The sequence below is a fragment of the Homo sapiens genome, chromosome 5 (assembly GCF_000001405.40).
Source record: "Homo sapiens chromosome 5, GRCh38.p14 Primary Assembly".
NCBI classification, from domain to species: domain Eukaryota; kingdom Metazoa; phylum Chordata; class Mammalia; order Primates; family Hominidae; genus Homo; species Homo sapiens.
Window position 1 is genome coordinate 111,473,153 of NC_000005.10, and position 22,088 is coordinate 111,495,240.

General features: G+C 37.4%; 1 protein-coding gene across 7 annotated transcripts in view; it reads left to right on the plus strand.

Moving 5' to 3' along the window:
• Positions 1-21,734, plus strand: part of CAMK4 (calcium/calmodulin dependent protein kinase IV) — a 271,304-nt gene extending 249,570 nt beyond the window's left edge. For 6 of the 7 annotated variants that reach the window (NM_001323375.2, NM_001323374.2, NM_001744.6 and 3 more), the window contains 4 exons: positions 159-234; positions 5,229-5,355; positions 9,633-9,785; positions 10,874-21,734. In NM_001323375.2, the coding sequence (NP_001310304.1) occupies positions 159-234; positions 5,229-5,355; positions 9,633-9,785; positions 10,874-11,314 (797 nt within the window). In that variant the 3' untranslated portion in view covers positions 11,315-21,734. The remainder of the gene's footprint in view (positions 1-158; positions 235-5,228; positions 5,356-9,632; positions 9,786-10,873) is intronic. The other variant, XR_948303.3, reaches the window with a different exon arrangement.
• The last annotated feature ends 354 nt before the right edge of the window (positions 21,735-22,088 follow it).

The window sequence follows — 22,088 nt, forward strand, 5'->3', positions numbered from 1 at the left end:
AAGTATTTATAGCTTCATACTGTGGTTTGGGGAGAGAAGATTGGTTATAAAACTGTTCAGAAATTGTTTTGATGAATTTATTTCTTTCCCATTGCTTGATATTAAAATATAAATATTGACTAAGCTCTAATTTAACACAATTTTCACTTTTTCTGCAGCACCTGAAATTCTTAGAGGTTGTGCCTATGGACCTGAGGTGGACATGTGGTCTGTAGGAATAATCACCTACATCTTGTAAGTGAAGAAAAGCAATATTTATGTAAACTATTTACCTTGCTGTGACATTTTCTAGATACCTCTAATGCTCATAAAAACCATAAAGATTACTTTTTGCCTTTTTGTGATTTTCTGTTACATACTAAATGCAGTTAGTGATAGAATTTCCTGAAAATGAACATTGCTTTTTATTTTGGAATTTTCTTGAGACCGGAATTCTTGTCCAGGGCTTTCCTATGTCTATATCCACTATGTAATATACAGCAGATTTAGGGAACAGTTTATTACTTGACACTAGTAAAGAATATGAGCCCAAGACCAGCTGTGTAAACTTGCTCTTGTTTTACTTATTTGCATCTTATATGAAATTATTAGATTTAGTCCTTTTAAATGGGCAAATGACTATTTAATTTCTTAAGCAATTCCAAACTGGTATATTTCTTATCAGGAATATTTTAAATGCATTTTTAGCTATCAATTTTGTTTCTTATTTCTGTTAGGTTTTCAAGGGTCTTAAATTTAACACCCTACACAAATTTCTTGGGAAAAAAAATGAGTGAAATATTTTAATCCCTGGTATCCCCACATCCATTCCTGAGCTCCTGTCTAATAAGAAATAAGGAGTTTCATGAAATTTGCCAAAGACATGGTGGAACTGCAGGTGGTGATGAAAAAAATCAACCAAATAGAAGAGCGTCTGAGATGGAAGAATACTGTAGAACAACTAGAAAATAAGATATCGATGCTTTCAAGAGTTTAGTTCAAAACAAGGAGACTTAGTTGCCATTTAGAGAGTACTACAAAGTTAGTTGTTGGAATGCATAATATTCCAATTTAGAGAAATTTTGAAGGGTTTGAAAGTAGGTATACTAGTCTACCTGGGCTTACATAACAAAATATATAGACTGGGTGGCTTAAATAACAGAAAGTTATTTTCTCACAGTTTTCGGGGGCTGGAAGTCCAAGACCAGAGTGTCAGCACAGTCAGCTTCTGCTGAGGGCCCTCTCTTGGCTTGCAGATGGCCGCCCTCTCACGGTGTCCTCACATGATGGGGAGAAGGAGAAAGCAAGCTCTGTGTACTCTTTTCTTATGAGGGGACTAATCCCATGAGGAAGACCCCACTCTCATGACCTCATCTAAACCTGATTGCCTCCCAAGGGCTCCATCTCCAAATACTATCTCATTGGGAGCTGGGGCATCAACATATGGATTTTGGGGTTGGAGGGGGGAATACAATTCAGTCCGTAGCAGAATGCTTTTAATTAAAGTTGTTTTTAACTTAATAGTGATCTTAAAAAATTCAATATCCAGGTGATATGGACTAGGAATGGGCTAACTGTGGTAGGGCCCACAAGCACGTTAGCAAACTCTAATTTACCTGATATACAATGGTTGATCGCCAAGACAGAAAGGTTTAACAAGCAACTGATAAAATAGCCATCCACTAATATGTAATACAAAAAGATATTTTGTGTGCTCAATTCCTTGTGTCTTTAGAAAAGCTTGAGAGGGGCCGGGCACAGTGGCTCACACCTGTAATCCCAGCACTTCGGGAGGCCGAGACGGGTGGATCCATGAGGTCAGGAGATCGAGACCATCCTGGCTAACGTGGTGAAACCCCGTCTCTACTAAAAATATAAAAAATTAGCAGGGTGTGGTAGTGGGCGCCTGTAGTCCCAGCTACTCGGGAAGCTGAGGCAGGAGAATGGCGTGAACCCAGGAGGCGGAGATTGCAGTGAGCTGAGATCTTGCCACTGCACTCCAGCCTGGGTGATAGAACTCCGACTCAAAAACAAAAACAAAACAAAACAAAACAAAAGAAAAAGAAAAGCTTGAGAGGAATTTGGAGAGATAAAGATCCTGTTTTTGTCCCCAAAATGTAGGTTTGCCCCTAAAGTATAAATATACCCAATTTAGGTACCAGTGTACCAACAATTGGTAGGTACATTGTTGAAATGTACTGGGAGGCATTAAGTATTAATGATATGAAAGAACTTGGAGAGATGGAAGTAGGAAATTAAGTTACATTTACCCAGAAAAATTGGAATGTGGAATGCATAAAACTTAATGATATCACTGACATGGGAAAATGAAGGGAAAAATATAATTACTTGAGAAATATTTTATTGTAACCCTGAAGATAGTTCTAAAAATCTGTCCTATCCCCTAGTCCATTACCAAATTATGCAAACTATTTTATATATTTCTTTTATCTTTATACACTTTAGGTAATTAATTAATAGGTTTAGTTGAAAGTAAGAGTGGTAGCCTCCAAAATGAAAATAACAGTGCTGCTTACAACTAATATTCTTTAGTTTTTGGCTAACTTCTGTCAGGCCCTAAGCCTGAGGACGTTTTATTTACTCTGTAGTTCTTTAATAATTGGTGAAGTCCACTGGCACGGTCGACTGGCACATTTTCTCTGGTGGGTTGTGCTACTTGATCTCTGTATCTTCTTTATTAGATTGGTTTAATGTACATTTAGTGGCCTGCTGGGCACCTGAGACTATGACCTCTAACATCTCACTCATTTCACCAGAGTGGCTTGGAGACAGACACAGTAGAGTAGAGAAGTAACCAAATGAAGAATTAGAACTAAAGATCCATTTTGTTAATGCTTCCTGGGAAAGTAAATCTTACAATGAAGCTACGTTATAAGCTTCAGTCAGATTCTTTCTTCTGTCTTCCAAATGTTGAGGCATTTGCTTTACTGATACTTGTCTGTATGTACATAAACTCTGGGGCTGTTTTTTTTTAATAAAGCCATGAATAGACATTGGATTCTTCCTATCAGTGTAAAGAATTCTGTTACCTCTTTTGTCCCTCTTCTTGTGGCTACTGCTGCATTTTAACTTCACTCTTTGCTTCTTTGTGTGTGTGTGTGTGTGTGTGTGTGTGTGTTTGTGTGTGTGTGTGTGTGTGTGTTTTGAGATGAAGTCTTGCTCTGTCTCCCAGGCTAGAGTGCAGTGGCGTGATCTCGGCTCACTGCAACCTCCGCCTTGGGTTCAAGCAATTCTTCTGCTCCAGCCCCCCGAGTACCTGGGATTACAAGCACGTGCCACCATGCCCAGCTAATTTTTTGTATTTTTAGTAGAGATGGGGTTTCACCATGCTGGCCAGCCTGGTCTCAAACTCCTGACCTCCTGTTCCACCTGCCTCAGCCTCCCAAAGTGCTGGGATTACAGGTGTGACCCACCGCGCATGGCCCACTCTTTCCTTCTTAAGAGTTCTAGCTTGTCACCACCAGGCTATTGATGGGGCCTTGCTATTTCTAAGAATGCCATTAGGCTGAAAATGAAGGCCATTCTATTTTTCCTCCCAGGAATTCTCATATCTTTACCTTTTATACCTAAACCCTCTTCCCCTACAGACAAAAGCTGCAGGACTGGGCCTTATGATCTGATCAGAAATCAGATAACATCAGAGATTCAAACTCTCTCCTTCAGCTTTCAACACTACAGTTCTGCCCTAAGGCTTGAAGTTGTCACCTTTTACCTCTGTCACCAAAGCAAAAAGTCACTGATAGGAATGAAATGAGAGAAAAGGCATTTGAGCACTATAACTCTTCAGTGGTCATTTTTGTCTCTAGATTTTCAGAAGGGGAAATATAAGGAAACTCCTAAACTAAGTCTAGGAAGCTGGCTCATTTCTCCATGACTAACTGCAACAGGCCATAGGTTTCTAGTGTTGTGGAGAGCAGGGCAGGGCAGGCAAGGTCAGACTCTCTCGTTGTCAGGGTGAGGACATGTGCCCTGTCTCACCTTAGGCTGCTCTTCCACAGGTGGGTCAGGAGCGGGATTCTCTGTGCAGACTGCTCAGTAGGGAAAGGGAGAACACATTGGCCCAGGGGTCTGCACTGTCAGGCCTTGCATTTTTCTCACTGGCTCCAGAATATCTGGAAGAGACAAACATTCTCCCAGTGGGACATTCTGTGAGTAAAAGGACATACGAAACTGCTTCTTTCTAAAAACTCACTGTATTAGGATGCACTTTAATTTTTCATGCTATGTACCAACCTGGCCAGCTTGAGTGAAGCCTTTGGGAAAATGTCTTTTATTCATCCTCCCTCCCACCCTCATTTTTTTTCAAATGGAACACATGCAACACATGCCCTGCCATGGGCTTTTTTAAGCAGTTCCCTCTTGGTCCCTACTGATTTTAGAACTTCCACCCGTCTGTAAACAGTGGATGCTTGGTGGTCACAAACAACTCGCTTTTCCTTTCTCTCTTGTTAAGATGCCCAAGATAGTTCTCCGTCCCTTTTATCCCACTTTTCCCATTCATTTTTAAGTTGACTCCATAGTAGAAAATGATACAAAGAATGAGGTAAATTGAGGGTGCTCATCTCTTTGGCTGCATCTGGTGACTATATTAATCTTATACATTTTTTAAGGTCATTGCCTGACAATAGTTTCAGCTTCTGTCTTTGTTCACTCTGAAATCCAAACTGGAATGGAATGGAAATGTCATAAAGCTTTACTCATTTCTATGGAGGATTTCATAGAATAGGGCAGAATAAAAATAAGTGAAAATTTCTAATTTCCACTTTTTAATTTCTTTACTCTCAAAATCCCAGCTCTTCCCTTTCACACTAAATTGGAAGTCTATTCAATCTCTGTCTGCCTGTCTGTCTGTCTTCTCAATACCTGTCAAAAAATCCATGGAAAGGCTTTAGCATAATGTCTATAATGTTAGCTATTATTATTATTGTTCTTCTGTGTAATAAGAATTATAATAATAATTATTATTACACAATAATTATAATTATTATTATAGCTTTTTGTAGAAATCCTAAGTTGGTTTTATATTAATTCCTACTTCCTGAGGACTTGATTGTGTGTTTACACTATAAATAGTGAATTGTAATAAGGCAGTTGCATACTTAAGCTGAGTAGACTTGCTTCCATGGCAGGAAGCAGTGAAAAAGAACAGTCCTGAATTCCTACAGAAATTGGATGAAATATACTTGAGCTTTTAAAGACATTTTATTCTCTATATTTTATTCCTCTAGACTTTGTGGATTTGAACCATTCTATGATGAAAGAGGCGATCAGTTCATGTTCAGGAGAATTCTGAATTGTGAATATTACTTTATCTCCCCCTGGTGGGATGAAGTATCTCTAAATGCCAAGGACTTGGTAAGTGTAACCAAAACAAAATGAAACAAAATGAAATAAATTTATTTTTAACTAATTAATGGGAAGTACAATTTTTTAAAATTTTACCCATATTAATGCCATATTTTCTTTCAATTTTAAAGTATTTTAATAAAATTAGTTCATTAATACATTTTCCTTAGAGAATAAAAACTAGATATGTTTTTGACTCATCACTAGTTGAATTATCATAAACTACAATTACTACAGTATTAATGAGCTTTTACTACCTTATAAGTATAAAAACCTTGCTTATGAAGAAAGCTGTGCTGGGTGAATTCAAACACAATTTACACAGAATTCTGTTTTAACATGGCTTGCAATTGCCTAGAATTTAGATGTACTTCATTTCTTTTTTGTTTCTTTGTTTTTGAGACAAGGTCTCACTGTCACCCAGGCTGGAGTGTAATGGCATGATCATGGCTCATTGTAGCCTCCAACTCCTGGGCTTAAGCAATCCTCCCACCTCCATCTCCTGAGTAGCTGGGACACAGGTGCATGCCACCACACCCAGCTAATTTTTAAAAGTTTTTTGGAAATATGGGGTCTTGCTATGTTGCCCAGGCTGGTCTCAAACTCCTGCCCTCAGGCGATCCTCCCACTGTGGCCTCCCAAAGTGCTGGGATTACAGATGTGAGCCACTGCACCCAGCCTAGATATACTTCAAGTAAAACAATACTGCTTCCTGAAATTTCATCAAATTTATTAAAATATCCTAATAGTAACGTAAGTCCCATTATGCATCATTGGCATTATAAAAATGTTCCACTGTGTTAATAGTTCATTTTGTTTGTTTGTTTTTACATTGCTTCTCACTTAAGTTAATATTGACATTTGTTTGCATTCAGGAAATCCATACCTTCTGGGGAGGTCACTCACCTCTTATAAAATAAAGAGGATGCTAACATGAGATTGAAACATTTCTCATCAATCCACTAGAGAACAACCACACAGACATAATCAAAAGCTGACTTTTGAATCATAGAAGGTTAGATATAGAAGAGGTCTTAGGAGGCATCTAGTCCTCCTCTCATTTTAAAGATGAGAATGCTAAAGACCAGAGAGGTGAAATGACTGCTAAGGTCACACAGCTTCCCAGCAGAAAGACATTATTAGGGCTGATCCAGTCGTCCAGACTCCCTTTCCTGTGCTCTTTTTTCTTCAAGCATTTCTTCCTTACCCTCTGTGTTCCTTCATGGAACAGATTCCCTAAGGCTCATGGCTTTTCCAGCATGAGTGGGAAGAGAAAGTCAGTGTGTGTGATGTGTGATGTATAAATATGTCATTGCAACTCCTTCCTCAAGTCATACCCCATGCTCCTAAACACCTCTTGAATCCATCCAGTTCTCTCCCCCGGACCACTGCCCCAACCTCCTATCTGACCTCCCTGCCTCTTCTCATGCCTTTCTCAAATACAGTCTGTACAGGATCCAGAGGGATGGTCTTATAAATAAATCGCATCATGTCCTTGTCCTGCTTTAAGAATCTTAGGATAAAATCCAAAACCCATAACAAGATCTACATGACGCTGCCTGGTCTGGGGCCTGCCACTCTCTCCTGTGCCATCACTCACTTCACATCTCTCCCCTTTGATCACTTTTCACTCTAGTGCACCACACTTCTAGTTTCTCATCAGCATAGCTCAGGATATTGCCATGGCTCTTCTGCTCTGTAATGTTCTTTCTTCCTCCCCACCTTCTTCTCCATTACACATAGGCATGTAAACACACACACACACACACACACACACACACACACACACACCCCTGGGTAACTCTTATTCTCAAGCCCCAGCTGCCACTAGATATCCCTTGGGAGGCATGGTCGGCCTTCCCCTTCAGTCCCTCCCACCTATAGTTGGTTCCTTCTGCCAAAATCTTCCTTTACCCCCTGCACTCCCCAGTTCATAACAGTCATCACTTATATATTTAATGGTCCTCCTTAATTAGATTTTAAGCTCTGGGGCAGGACAAAGCGTGTGTACCCAGACCTTAGAACCACATAGGCATATAGGACTGACTCAGTAAATGTTTATTGGATGAAACAATGGATCTGGAAGTACACCGTGAAGTTTCAGAGTCTGACACACCTGGATTTAAGTGCCCCCTTTGTCATGTCCTGGAAGTGTAACCTCAGGCTCATGATCTAACCTTGCTATGCTTTAGTTTTCTCATCTAGGATGATAATTGTACCTATCTCTAGGTCGTTGTGAGAATTAAGGAACATAATATATGTTAAGTAACTAATATCAACTAACTTAATAATAGTAATCTTATTTAGCCCTCCTTCCATTTCTTTTCACCCTTAATAAATATTAAGTGAATAAGAGGGTTAGCTTTGATGTTCCTTCATTCAGCTAGATCCCTTGTTAGTTTATCACTGCTTAAAACTTCAGAACTGGAAGAATCCTTGAGCTCCATAAATGTATACTTACTAGCAAAACCCACATCTGTTGTGTCATCGGCAGAGACTAAGTGCTAAGGAGTTGGGGAATTGGATGTAAGGGGTACTGCAGGGTAATGGCAAGGCTTTGAGTGTGATTATAACCTTCAGAAAGTTTCCTAATAATTCAGTTAGGATTGTTATCAATATCTTCAAATGTAAAGATTAACAATGGTGTATATAAATTTTTGGTGCACATTGACTTTCAATAAATTCTTTGTATTTTTGTGAGGAAGATAGTAATGAGGAGGGAGAGGAGAAAAATGATTGGAAAAGAAAAAGAAAATACCTAATTGTCAAAAATGTTGTAAGGATTAGGGCTCATTTACATAAAATTATTAGTAGTCCTGTTCAACGGATAATAGCCATGACTACTATCAGATTTTTATTTACTACCATGCCTTCTTTCTCTTAACCATCCTACCTTCCTCCATGTCCTCTCAGATTTTAAGCCTAAAGAGCCTCATGTCTCTGCCCACTACAAATCTAGCCCAAACACACATTCTTTTGCAGAAAGGAAGTGAAGAGAGAACCAGATAGTATTTATTCCTCATTTGACTTGCCGCCTGATTTCCTTAGCCTATGTTCACGTCTCCTTAGGTAATTAGAGTTAGAAAAGACCTGAGACCTACAATCATTCAAAGCTCCTTATTTTGCACATGAGCAGGCCAAGGTACAGGGAGATTGACCACCTTGGAGACATCATGCTGTAGTGGCCACAAGATGCGCTCTGACATACACAGACCTGAGTCTAAATACAGGCTCCATCAATTCCAAATTGTCTGACCTGAGGCAAGTCACTAAATCTTTCTGAGCTACCCTGCTTCCCTCATTTATGAATTGGCACTAGTAGTTCCAAATGATAAGGCTGCTAAAAGATTACATGAGTTTTTAAAAAGTTATATATGCATCTAAGAAGCAATTACAAAGGAATTAAAGTGGAAATAAGATTCTGTAAGGAAAGAGCCTGAGGGGGTGTCCACAGGCAATTTATATATTTGTCTATATCTAGGGTCACAAAAGTGGCGAGTGGCATAACCAGGGCTTGAACACACTTCCTGACTCCCAATAGTCTCTGCCTCATATCAGGTCACCCCTACTAAGCCCAGGACTGTGGATTATTTTATTTGCTGACCTTCCTGGGAATTTATTGACTGCCCATCCTCACAAGCAGGGGTAAACCTCCAAGAATGGGCTGCCATTGATTGGATTCCATTCTTTAGGCAAATCATGCCCTCAAGCCACTGACTTCTTGGATTATAAAATGATTTTTAAACTCTGGGCTTAGTCCTTCAAGTACCCTCAAGGGGTTAGAAAGAACTATAAACCCCAAGATAGAAACATAAGGTAGTATTCCATAAGTTCTGGGATACTCTCCCTTTTGTTTGCCATTTAATCCCCACAGAAAGAATGATGATGCATGAATGATTCCATTCTGTTACCATAGAGATGTACTTTAAGTTCTGAATTCTAGGTGATTGTGAAGCGCAGCCCAGAATTATTTTGCTGGTTCTGCCTTCAAAGAACTTCCAGTCCACAGGCAAGTGAGGAGCTGTTTCTTGACTTCTGTTGGAAAGCCGTCTGCCACTTTGGGGGTCTCAGGTGGTACATGGCCCTGTCTTCTCATACTCCCTCAGCTACTGCTACCTGAAGCTGTGCCTACCTACAGTGGCCCCTGAGGACTTAAACAATTTTTTTCTCACATATATTTAGTGGTACTGCTGGGAAATGGAATAAGATCTGGAAGTTTGTAAGCTGAGGGCAAGCCCAGGTCATCCTAAAAACCTCGCTAAGTTTATGGTTCTTTATTATTTCAGGTCAGAAAATTAATTGTTTTGGATCCAAAGAAACGGCTGACTACATTTCAAGCTCTCCAGCATCCGTGGGTCACAGGTAAAGCAGCCAATTTTGTACACATGGATACCGCTCAAAAGAAGCTCCAAGAATTCAATGCCCGGCGTAAGCTTAAGGTAAGATAGCATATATTTTGTTTTGTTTTGTTTTGTTTTCAAAAAATTTATCTCATCTTGATCTATCAATAATAGTTCTACCGTTCTTCATCTAATACTATTATCTATTTCTTAAGGCACCAGGGAAAATCCTGCTTTGAAACTCCAATAAGGCTGACACAAAGCTACTTAAGTTTTCTTATACTCTCATAAGGAATATATGATTAATAAAGGGAAATTTGTTATATAAGTTGATATTTACATATCAAATATATTATTGCTGCTTCTCATCTAATTAAAGTATACTGCTTAAACAGCATTGTTCAGGGAAAACTGATATTTATTCAGAAAGTTGTTTTCTTTCAGAATATGTAAAACTTGGTAAACAATTTTTGAAACTATATTTCCTAATATAGATAAATAATTACTTGACAAAAATTTAAAAATTTAAGTGATATAATAAATTACTTAACTAAATATATCATTTTATATAGTACCTATCGAATAGAGATTAGGAGCTTTTCTATTACATAACTGTGTTTAGGACTAGCTATGTAAGTAGAGGATCTCAGAGAGCAGCTGGGGGTCAGAATTAGGGTCCTATGCAGCCATTGCTTACGGTCTGATACAGACTAAATAAATCTGAAAGGCTCCATGGTCAAATTAATTATAAATACCCCAAATTAAATAGTATTGACTTCACCTAGGATTTCTCCAGCTAGTTTGATCACGGAACTCTTATATCCCCATGATGACATCCATGTGGTAAAAACTACTAACGTCCACAGAACTAGTGTTCCGTAAAACAAATACACCGGGAAACACAGATTAAAATTTTCAAAAATTGGTTAGCCACAGGTAAACACATGTATTCAGGCTTTCAGTTGTCCAGATGATTAAATACACTAATTTGTATTTAATTTGAGATGAAAGAGGTTTTACTGTTCATTCTCCAAATTTTCTTTTGGCAAACAATCTAGGAATAAGGTACTTTGAAAACTTTAACGCTAACCTATAAAACGGAATCCCTAAAAGCAAAGCTGGGGTTGAGCTCTGATGTGGGGTGTTAAAGCAGAGGTAACACTTGACACTCTTCTGTTTCCAATCAGGCAGCGGTGAAGGCTGTGGTGGCCTCTTCGCGCCTGGGAAGTGCCAGCAGCAGCCATGGCAGCATCCAGGAGAGCCACAAGGCTAGCCGAGACCCTTCTCCAATCCAAGATGGCAACGAGGACATGAAAGCTATTCCAGAAGGAGAGAAAATTCAAGGCGATGGGGCCCAAGCCGCAGTTAAGGGGGCACAGGCTGAGCTGATGAAGGTGCAAGCCTTAGAGAAAGTTAAAGGTGCAGATATAAATGCTGAAGAGGCCCCCAAAATGGTGCCCAAGGCAGTGGAGGATGGGATAAAGGTGGCTGACCTGGAACTAGAGGAGGGCCTAGCAGAGGAGAAGCTGAAGACTGTGGAGGAGGCAGCAGCTCCCAGAGAAGGGCAAGGAAGCTCTGCTGTGGGTTTTGAAGTTCCACAGCAAGATGTGATCCTGCCAGAGTACTAAACAGCTTCCTTCAGATCTGGAAGCCAAACACCGGCATTTTATGTACTTTGTCCTTCAGCAAGAAAGGTGTGGAAGCATGATATGTACTATAGTGATTCTGTTTTTGAGGTGCAAAAAACATACATATATACCAGTTGGTAATTCTAACTTCAATGCATGTGACTGCTTTATGAAAATAATAGTGTCTTCTATGGCATGTAATGGATACCTAATACCGATGAGTTAAATCTTGCAAGTTAACACAACGTAACACTTAAAAGCATACATTTTCAGCAACCAGTGGCACATATTTGAAGTGAATAGTAGCAAATTGTTTTTGCTTTGAAAATCTAGCCATCCTACATCCTTTGGATTTCTTCACAAGGCAGTAATTCCTTTGAACTACTGCTTAGCTAATACTAGGTAGTGCTAAAAGACATGTTCCCATAACTTTTACAACATTTTACTTTTTATCATTGATGTGTTCAAACTGTTTACAAGGAGATGCTTATAGATGATAGTTGTACATATGTGCAAAAAAAAATCCACTTGCAATGGTAAGAAATTGAAGTATCCTTAAAGGCCATGAAGCCATATGTCCCTAAAGCCTGTGTGGAGAATGCTTTATTTTATTCTTATTTATATACACTATATTAATAATAACCAAAATGTTCTAAGATTCTGCCATTTTACAACCCTGGAGGAAGTAATTTACAAACTCACGCTGAGTTCCATTCTTTCCTTCACCTGCTCTCCAATAAGATGACTTTCTGATAGACAAAGCTTAGGGTGTAATAAACAGGGAAGAAAAGAAGGTAAGACTGTACTTAAACTGATGAAGATAAGATTGATTCCTTTTCATTTTCCAGATAAAATTGTATTTACTCATGAATTTATACAACTTTACAGATAAGAACATTTTAATGGATAAACTCTATAATTACCAAGTTGCAAATATTTAGAAAATTCTATTTCACAGGTTAGTGCCAAAATGTCTTCATAGAGTAGGAATAATATTCCATTTTAAGATTATTCATTATTGACTTTAATAGAGTAAGAAAACATTATTGTTTATCAAAGCTCTTTTTTTATCCAATTGATGGTTATCTACACATATCACTTATAAACTAAAGTTATTTATGAAAAGCTAGTATGTCTTTTTCTCGTATTTGGAATGAAAGTACCCACATTTTACAATGTAGTGTTGAGAATGTGGCTGCCAATAAATTTAGCACAATGCAATTTATTTACCTTAAAAAACAAACAAAAACAAAAATAAAGAAAAATACTGATTTCAAATCAGACTCTTAAAAAGCTGGAACATTAGACCTGATATTTTATTATGATTTTTCCCAGAATAAGTTTAATTTCTCTTTGACTTTCATAGAAACACTTTCCCCTTATAGAAATTGCACTATCTCCAATTTATTTCTAGTTTGAGTTGAAATGAATATTTTATCAGATTAATTATGTGTCACATTTTTGGTGGGTTTTCTCAATTTTAAAAAAGAATTCATTTTAAAAAATAATTATTTTCAGAGACCAAATAAAGACAATAAAAATGACTATCACATAAAAATCCTTGTTAAAAAAGAGATCTTAAATTATGTTGGCTCTCCCTCAAAACTATTAAATTAGAAAACGAAACTAAAGCTCCAGTTTGTAGAGGCTGTTGGACCTCAGTAGACATTCTTCTTTTCAATCACAAATCTCTCTCTACTACTGTTCTCATGGGAAGAAAACAAGGTAGGACTTCTTATCTTTCATAGTTTAAGAATCTGACAGGTCACTGATATGGAGCCCCTGAAGAAGCACATCATCTGGGCTCAGAAGATTATTTTTTGTTTTGTTTTATTTGTACTATCTAGTAGAGAGCACTTTTCTTATTCCCTCTTTCCTTCCTTCCTCATTTAATTATTCCCTCTCAGAATTCCCATGTTGTCCATTATAAGGGGCTCGCTATTTTTAACCTTTAAGAATGTCTTCTTTGTTAAGCATTAAGATTTCCATTTAAGAGGATCAATTTCCTGTTGTACTTTTTACCATGAGACTGAAACACACACACACACACACACACACACACACACACACACACACGTGTTGGAAGAGCAAAGAGAGGGAAGGGGGTCTTTTTAGAAAGTGGCACTTGGCGCTTAGCTGAAAGATCAGAACACATCATTCCTCCCTGCCCACCCCCATATTGTTCCAAGGGCAGTTGTTACATTATTTCAACACTAGAGTAGGGCGGACTGCATTGTTTGGCCCTGAGAACTATAGAAACAACGTTGCAAATACCATGCCCAATGTGTATTTTAGAATTTACTCATTTAAATGAGTGCATATTACCATTCCTCCATGTGAGTACTCGAGTTGATAATTCCCTCTATCTTTTTAAACCCATAAACTACATTTTTAAAAAAATCAATGGGAGTTTTAAATTTTGACTCATGTTAAAGATAAGATTCTGATAATGACTATATAGTGACTAATTTCATTGTTTCAGTAGGAAACAAATCAAACTTTCAAAAATGTTGGTCATTTCAGTCAAATTATTCAAAGATTTCATATACATACATCCTAAGTTAGGATAATTATGTTAACATTTTTGAAAGAACAGCCAATGTTTATATTGCTTGTTAAAATGGAATGTATTGTCTATCTCAAAGATTACTTAGCTAAATAATAGTAGACAAATGGAGATTTAATTTCACAAAATACTTCATAACATCACTCCTAATTGGCAATATAGTCACAAAGCAAAAGAATTCAAATTTCAGCAAACAATAAATTACATTTTACATTTTAGAGCTAACACTTATCACATTACATTATGGGTTTTTATTTTGAGATAAGTTCAGCTACATAGCATAAACTAGGTTTTTTTTTATAACCATGAAGGACAGTCTTGAATTATTTCCCCCATTAACAAAGTCTAATTGGAATCCAGTATTTTTTCTCAAACTGTAATTTCACTTGTCCCAGGACACATAAATAGGTAAAAATTAGAATAATATCGTGGTAGAAGTTAATTGTCCAGAACAAGTGCATTATATAAATATAATGCAAGCACATGTCATTTAAGATTTTCTATTAGTCACATTTTAAGAAAAATAGATGAAAGTATAGTATTTTTAATCCAATTCATCCAAATTATTCTATCGATATATAGTCAATATTAAAATTTAATGTGATATTTTGAATTCTTTATTTTTATACTGTTTTCAAAATCAAGAGTGTATGTTAGGCCTTTGGGACATCAAGTGCTCAATAGTCACATGTGGCTAGTGGCTACCATATTAGACAGCACTAGTCTAGAGTACTTTTTATTTTAAGCAAAGTGACACTTGAAGTTCTATGCTTAGATTTAAGTGGCCTCAGTTTTCACATTGAGGAGCTGGTGGGAGGCCACAAAGAAAGTGTTTCAGAAATGTTACACACTGAGTAAAAGCTTATTGACCACTCCTGCCCATTCATTTACTTCAGAGGAGAAATGATTCCTAACATGACTTCAAAGAACGGGCATTACTAAATTATCTACTGACCAATCCCTCTGATTCCTGATGGGCCCTGGAGTCTTGACTACAGCCTAGAGTCTCCTGAGTACTGCCATGATGCCAATAGCATTCTTGCTTACCAAAATCTACTCTCAGCCAACTATGTGTCTTCATTCAGGAAGAACTGCACATAGAATCTGATTTTGAGGCCTGGATTAAGCTTCATGCCATCCTTGTATCACAGGCAATATGTCTTTCTGGAAATCTAATGAACCATACCAAATCTGCATGATGAAGATTGTGTAATGATGGTGATATCATGCCAGTTATCCTCAAAGTGGGAATATGACCATTAGCTGGCATTTTTTAAGATTTCCTTAGAAGGGTTTAATCAACACTGCCATTACACATGGATTTAACAAAAGACTTTTGAAAATTTTTTACATACTGATTTTAGAATAATCCTCAAGGTTCTATAGTCATTTTTAGTGGAAGACTTAAAAAGAAAGGAACAATTTTTACTGTGACTTCAATTTCATAGTATTTTAAACATATTTTGTAATTCAGAATGTTTAGCAATCCCTATGTCCTGTTTCACATGCATGGTAACTGATGGTGGGTTGCCTACAGGCTGAAGATTTGGAGAGAGCCATTTTGTTTCATAAATCAGTTTTTATTGCACAGAAGCAGCTGGTTGTATTTCAAGTTGGAAAAAGAAAAGTAAATGCCAGAAAAGGCAAAGGATAAACTTAGTAAGCCATTTATTTTGTTTTAGAATTGTTTTTGCAAAGCAAATTTTTTTAAAAAAAGGTCAACAAAGTGAATCAGCACTAGCATTTTCTTGATGGTTGACTCAATGTATAATTAACAAATATACATAGCAGAGTCAATTAATCATAGTGCCATTATGTCACTTATTTGTCATTGCAAAGTATTCAGTCATGTTGTCTAGATTTACTTTAGATGGTGCAAAATTTCCAGATAGTAACCTATGTAAAAGGATTTGTAATTTCCTTGTAATTCCTGCCTATTAGTCCATATTCTGATTTCCTTATGTTCATCACTGATATGTTCCTGATCAGGGTCATTGCTAGTAGTTGAGCATTTACTGGTTGAACATTGTTTAATGGTTAGATGTTATGTGTGTCTGCATTTAAAAAAATTGTGTACATGTTATTTCACTATTGGTATTACAATATTCATAACCACATGATAAACAGAAATGTACCCAATAATTTCCTATAAAATTTTTCAAAGTCCTTTTATTCCCCTGACACACTCAGGGTGAATTTTTGTCTCCTTGGCAAATAAGAAAAAAAAGGAGAGAGACCACTGGAGAGATATCAGCAAACCACCCACAGTAACCAAGTTCAGTATTTCCTCTTTCTATATTTTGACCAATATATTAAGAGCAAATTTTGTCATTATTACTCCTTGTGGCTATTACCTGAGATCAGATAATATAATCTCAGCTCATAAAGCTTGGCCATGTCTATACTTATCTTGGAGAGCAATAACAAACTTGATTAATTTGTTTGGTTATTTAAAATTCCAACTTTCATAAATGCTCTGTGATGTACTCAAGACGATTGGGTTGTGTGATACTAACTTCCTTCAAGAACTCAGTCTGTTCCCTGTTGTCTGGTTCAGAGGTCCACCAGGGCAAAATAGAAGCCTTGCCGAGAAAGTGAACTGTCTTACTCCTTCAAAGGAATCAGATGTTGCTCTAGAGAAGACTCCAGGCATCTACCTGGTTGAGCTCAAATGAGGCAAGTGGGAGAAAACCTCTTCTCATCCTCTGATTGAAAGTGATACAATTTGAATATTGGTATATTGTCATTGGTCAGTAATGGAAAAATGAGATTCCACCAGTGGGTTACTCTTTTCTTGTCTTGGTTTGCTATGCCTTATCCCAGATCAGTGTTTTGTTCCATCCCTATGGTCATCTCTAAAGCCCTGACAGGAGCATCCCAGACTGGAGAAATGCAGCGTATCTGTGGCCCAGAATTTTGTTTGATACTCTAAACAGCAATGCAAAGACTGCAAAATCACACTATTCTAAACAGTTGTTTTCAGCTCATTTTGAAGATTGACCTGGAAAACATATAGATACAGAATATATACATTTAATCGTTGCTTGTGATTCATTGTGTCAAAATAACATTTAATTTTCACTCTGATTAATCTTTATTTTCCATTTAAAAGATTATTTCAGGCTACTTAAATACAAGACCTTGCATTCTAATTTTTGAAAGCGGTTGTTTTCCCTGAGCTCTCTCTCAACTTTGACAGTTTGTGAATGATAAAAAGTTACTAGGTTTGTCCTTTCCTTGATAGATGTAGAGCAGTTCATCTGTTTTGTAAAGGTACAGTTAAGCATAACTATAGGCTGGGCGTGATAGTTCATGCCTGTAATCCCAACACTTTGGGAGGCCGAGGTTGGCAGATCACCTGAGGTCAGGAGTTTGAGACCAGCCTGGCCAACGTGGTGAAACCCCTAATACAAAAATTAGCTGGGCATGGTGGCACGCTCCTGTAATCTCAGCTACTCAGGAGGCTGAGGCAGGAGAATCTCTTGAACCCGGGAGGCAGAGGTTGCAGTGAGCCAAGATCATGCCACTGCACTCCAGCCTGGACAACAAGAGCGAAACTCCGTCAAAAAAAAATATATATATATGACCATAAATTGAAAACTATCATCTCATACTGCCTCCTTTTAACCTGACCTATTTTATATACCTACAATACAGTTAATATGCAGCAGCGTAGAGAACAAATAGCATATTCATAATTTGTAATTTTGTTTTTCTTTTTACGGCACCCTTAAGTCTCAGTAATATTTTAAAAGTCCTCTATAAGCCAAAAGAACGTTGTAACATATCCATTTATTAAGGAGTTAGGCCTAAACATAGTAATAGTAGTCCATTCCATGTCCAACAGATGTTGCTGTGTTTCTTTCAACATTTTTCAATGTCTTGTGAGTTTAGTGAGTGGGTACAGCTGAGTTGGGGTTTAGGTGATTTCTTATGCCCAATGAACTAAAGGTATCAGTAAAAGATTATTAGTAAACAAATTAGTTATTTATGCTCTTACTTGAATGTCAGTCATTCATTTTATCTCTCGTCTTTGAGATACACACATTAAAACTTATGTGCATATTTTTTTAAAGAGTAATTTCCACATAATTCCCCAAGAACTGAACTCAAATCTCCAAAAATTTTTCAGAACTCAAGCAACCAATGATTCACAGAGCAAATCTACCAAAGCCCCATTTTTATTGGAACACAGGCATGCTCATTTATGTACATATTGTTTGTGGCTGCTTTTATGTTGTCAAGGCAGAGTTGAGTACTTTCAACAGAGACCATATGGACTGCAAAGCCTAAAATGTGTATCTGGACCCTTACAGTAAAACAATGACCCTGGGTTTTCATGGCACCCCAATGCCTTTTTGGTGACTTGCAGGAATACAGATTCCTATATTCCAGTTTGTTTTTTTTTTTTTCTCCTTAGCTTAAGGTTCGTATTCCCATTTGCTTCTGAGAAAGTTAGGAAAATTTTGTTTTATGTTGCAGATGCTCTCACAACAATAATTGTGCTGGAGATAGATACAACTTAGTGAAATTTTCCTACAGAACTAAAAACGCAAAATTGCATCACTCCTGAAGAAAAGAAATTTAGAGTATGAATTGAGTTGGTTGAGAGTAGAATTAAAAAGATTTCTAGCACTTTGAGCATGTTTTAGAAATTTGATCCTTACATTTAAAATTATGTAAATGACATCTTTCACTGGCATTTGCTCACATTTAAGTCAATCTACAGCTGTTACTTACTAAGCTAAGAAATAAGAAGATCCCTATGGTTCTGAATCTCTCATAATATTCTGAAGTAATTTATATCAATTGAATTTTCATTAATCATTTTAGGAAATATTATGTTTTATTTTGTGGCATTATATGACAATGACTTTCTCAACAATAGCTCAGGGAATACGCAAACAGCCAGCTCTTTTATGTAAGAAAGCCATTTTCTAATCCCCACGCTTTCCTGAGTGTTACGTATTTTATTTCTTTGAAAAGAGAGGGCCTTGAGTAAATGCTTTCGTTTGCTTTCCTTACATATTTAGAAATCCAAGAAGGGCCCTTGTCTTAGTCTATTTCTGTCACAGAGAAATTGTTCATTCCAAAATATCCACCTTAAGGGAAGCTAGTGACCGAGATATGGAGAAAAACATAGGCATTCATGACCTTTGTGTTTCCGTTTGACTTTCAACATCTGTAACCAAAAGGTCACAAATGAAATATTTAGTAGAAAGTGCAATATCAATTTATTAGGAGTACCTAAAATTATAACTCTAAATAATATACAGCAATATTATTGCTCTATTATTACAGCAATCAATAATATAATATAGCCACTAGGATACACTCGCTGTAGAACTCAGAACAAAAGATATCAATCTTCTGCCAGTCCGCATCATTATGTGTAGCAGAGACTTTACTGGAATGAGTGAGGGGAAAGATAACAAAATGTAGATTAGGATTCCACATTCTCCCCTGCCCATCTTCTTGATTGCTCAGTTTGAAGACGATCATTGATGGACAAATACTTTAGAAATGAATGAAGTCAATAGCTAATGTTTCTCCCAGAAACTAAACAACATAGTTTAGGGGATATTAGGCCTACATTCTAATCACATTGTAAGGAAGTGATTTTCTAATTTTGAAGCTTCCCAGGAGCAGCCCCCTCCAGGAACAATTTTCCCTGTGAACTTTCACTGAGAAACTATTATATGCCATGGAGGAGTCAAAGATGAATTAAATCCAATGCTATCCTCCAGGAGTGAGCTTTGTAGTTGGAGAGAAAAGCCAACCTTATAGATACAACCTGTACATATATAACCTATGCTGCATTTAGGCAGATGATAAGCCCTAGGAATGGAAAGAGGGAAAAGCTCCCTTTTGCCAGGAATGATGAAGGAAAGCTTTATGGAAACACAGGCTGTATGTGAAAGATGGGTGAATCTTTGCAGGTAGGGAAGAAGTAGGGGGCATGTCTGGCTGAGAACCGGCCTGATCATAGAGTGGAAAAATGAAAGGCAGAGGTGAAGGAAGAATACTAAATGTGAAAGGCTGAAATACACAGGGAAGTGTTGCCAGTGTGCAACAGAATCTCATCTCGTGCAAAATTGAATTAGACTTCCTTACTCCTTCCTTACTCTGGGTAGGTCCATGTGCAGCCTTTCCTCAGAGCATCTAGCCTGACATACTTGGCTCATCTGCTGTGCTTCTAAGCCAAATAAAAATCATCAAACACATCGAAGATATTTTTGGGAGTCACCAGGTTAAAGCAAAGCCTCAGTCACTGAAAGCAAAAACTGAATTGGCCAGGTCTCCACTGACAAAACAGAGTAAATGATAGTATGACAGATAATTTCAAGTTTTCCAAGACTCCAATTTCTGAAAAATGTCTCATGACTCCAAAAAATCACGTACTTCCTAAAATGTTGCCAGTGGAGGACCGAATCAAGGTTATTGCTGACCTCATTTTTTCAACCTTTTCAGTTATTTGACCTGAATAGGCAATCCCCCAGGATTTCTGATTGAATTCTACCTGAAAGTTTAGATTTTAAAAGACAACCTGTAGGAAGCTAAGTCTCAGGCAACAAAATTTAAAACCATCAGAACTTGTTTCTCCAAACATCAACCTGCTCCTGTCAAGTCCTTTTTCATCTCTCCCTTTTGTCCCTTTACATACTGTTTTGTAAGTTCCTTTTGATATCATTTATTGCAGGCAGTATTTTTACATCCATCTTCAAGAAACTTGGGAGACATTTAGACATTTAGTATGTGTACTTTTAGTTGTCTTGCCTCTTTATTTCAGATAATGCCTGTGATTAGTGAATGGCGGCATTATTCCTGAAGACAAATGAAGGAAGATAGGGAGCAAGATTGACTGTCATTTGAATGATGGAAGAGAAGTAGAATTACTGTGAGGTTACAAAAATCGTAAGTTAGCAGACATTGAGAAAGGAAAACTTCCTACTTGGGCTTTTCAGGCTTATGTGACATTATCTGGATGTGTTTTCTAGTCTTTCCTAAAGGAGAAATTTTTATTCCTGGGTTGCTGAAAGCTTTCTGGACTAAAAGGATATAAGCAGCTCAATAGCAGCATAGAGGATTAGATTAATGGAACAGCACTGCATACAGGAAAGCTACATCTCCAATAGTTTAGGCTGCAAGTCAGTAGCCAAACACAAGAGCATGTAAGATTTGGAGGACAAAGTATAAATATTTTAAGTTTACACAACCAAGATTATAGGCTACCTTCCCAACTTCTAATTTGAAGAGCACTGAAAATGGAGCTGTGAACACTTCATTTTTAAAACCTGACAATATGGTGCTATTGACTACTTAATACAAAGATATATTACAATATTTTTAGGTAAATGTATTAAGTCTGGCCTGGGCATAAATGTACATACAGAAAATGTTTGTAGAGAATTCATCAAAATCATGCCCATTTGCTGTTGTAGAGCTACAGTATTCTTCAATGGTGGTGACTGACCAGTGAGTTTCTACTTCTTACAGATGGGACACAACAGTCATGGGCTGTCTCAGCTGCCCAAAGCCTGAGGCAGACCACATGAGAGCTGTGGCTTCTTCTTGGATTCAGGTTGGATAACCCAATTCAGTAATTAAATATGTAAATTTTGGGGGGGGTTGGGGGGTGTTTTCTAGGAACTTGAAGAGTACGTGACATTATAAAAAATGGGTGTTGGAAGACTAATTGTAGAAATTTGACCTGAGGGCCAATGTTACTTGGTGTAAGTTCACTCAGACAGACATGTCAGAACATGCCCAAAGAAGCCTATATCTTGCTGCTGGGAAATGTAAAGCAGTTGGCATGTAGAATACGATAATAAATCATTTAAGAAACCACCAAAACTTTGCATTCTGTGATTTCAAATGTTACCACAATTCAAGAGAGACACCATGGACATTTTTCTTACACCTGAAATGTGCAGTTGAATCACTCCTTGAGTGTTTTCCCATTCTCTCAGATAAAATTATACTTTGAGTTTCATAGCCTTTTTTTTAACACTGAGTGCTCACATATTTTCTGTTGAGTAAAATTATAAAATCACTAGAGTTAAAAGAGGATATTAGTAATCATTTAATCCAATAAGCTCACTTTATTAAAGAGAGCTATTATGCCCAAGAGAGGTAATGGCTTACCTAAGGTCACAGTGGCTGAAGAAGGAATAGACCAGGGTTGCCCAGCTCCTAGTCCAGTGCTCT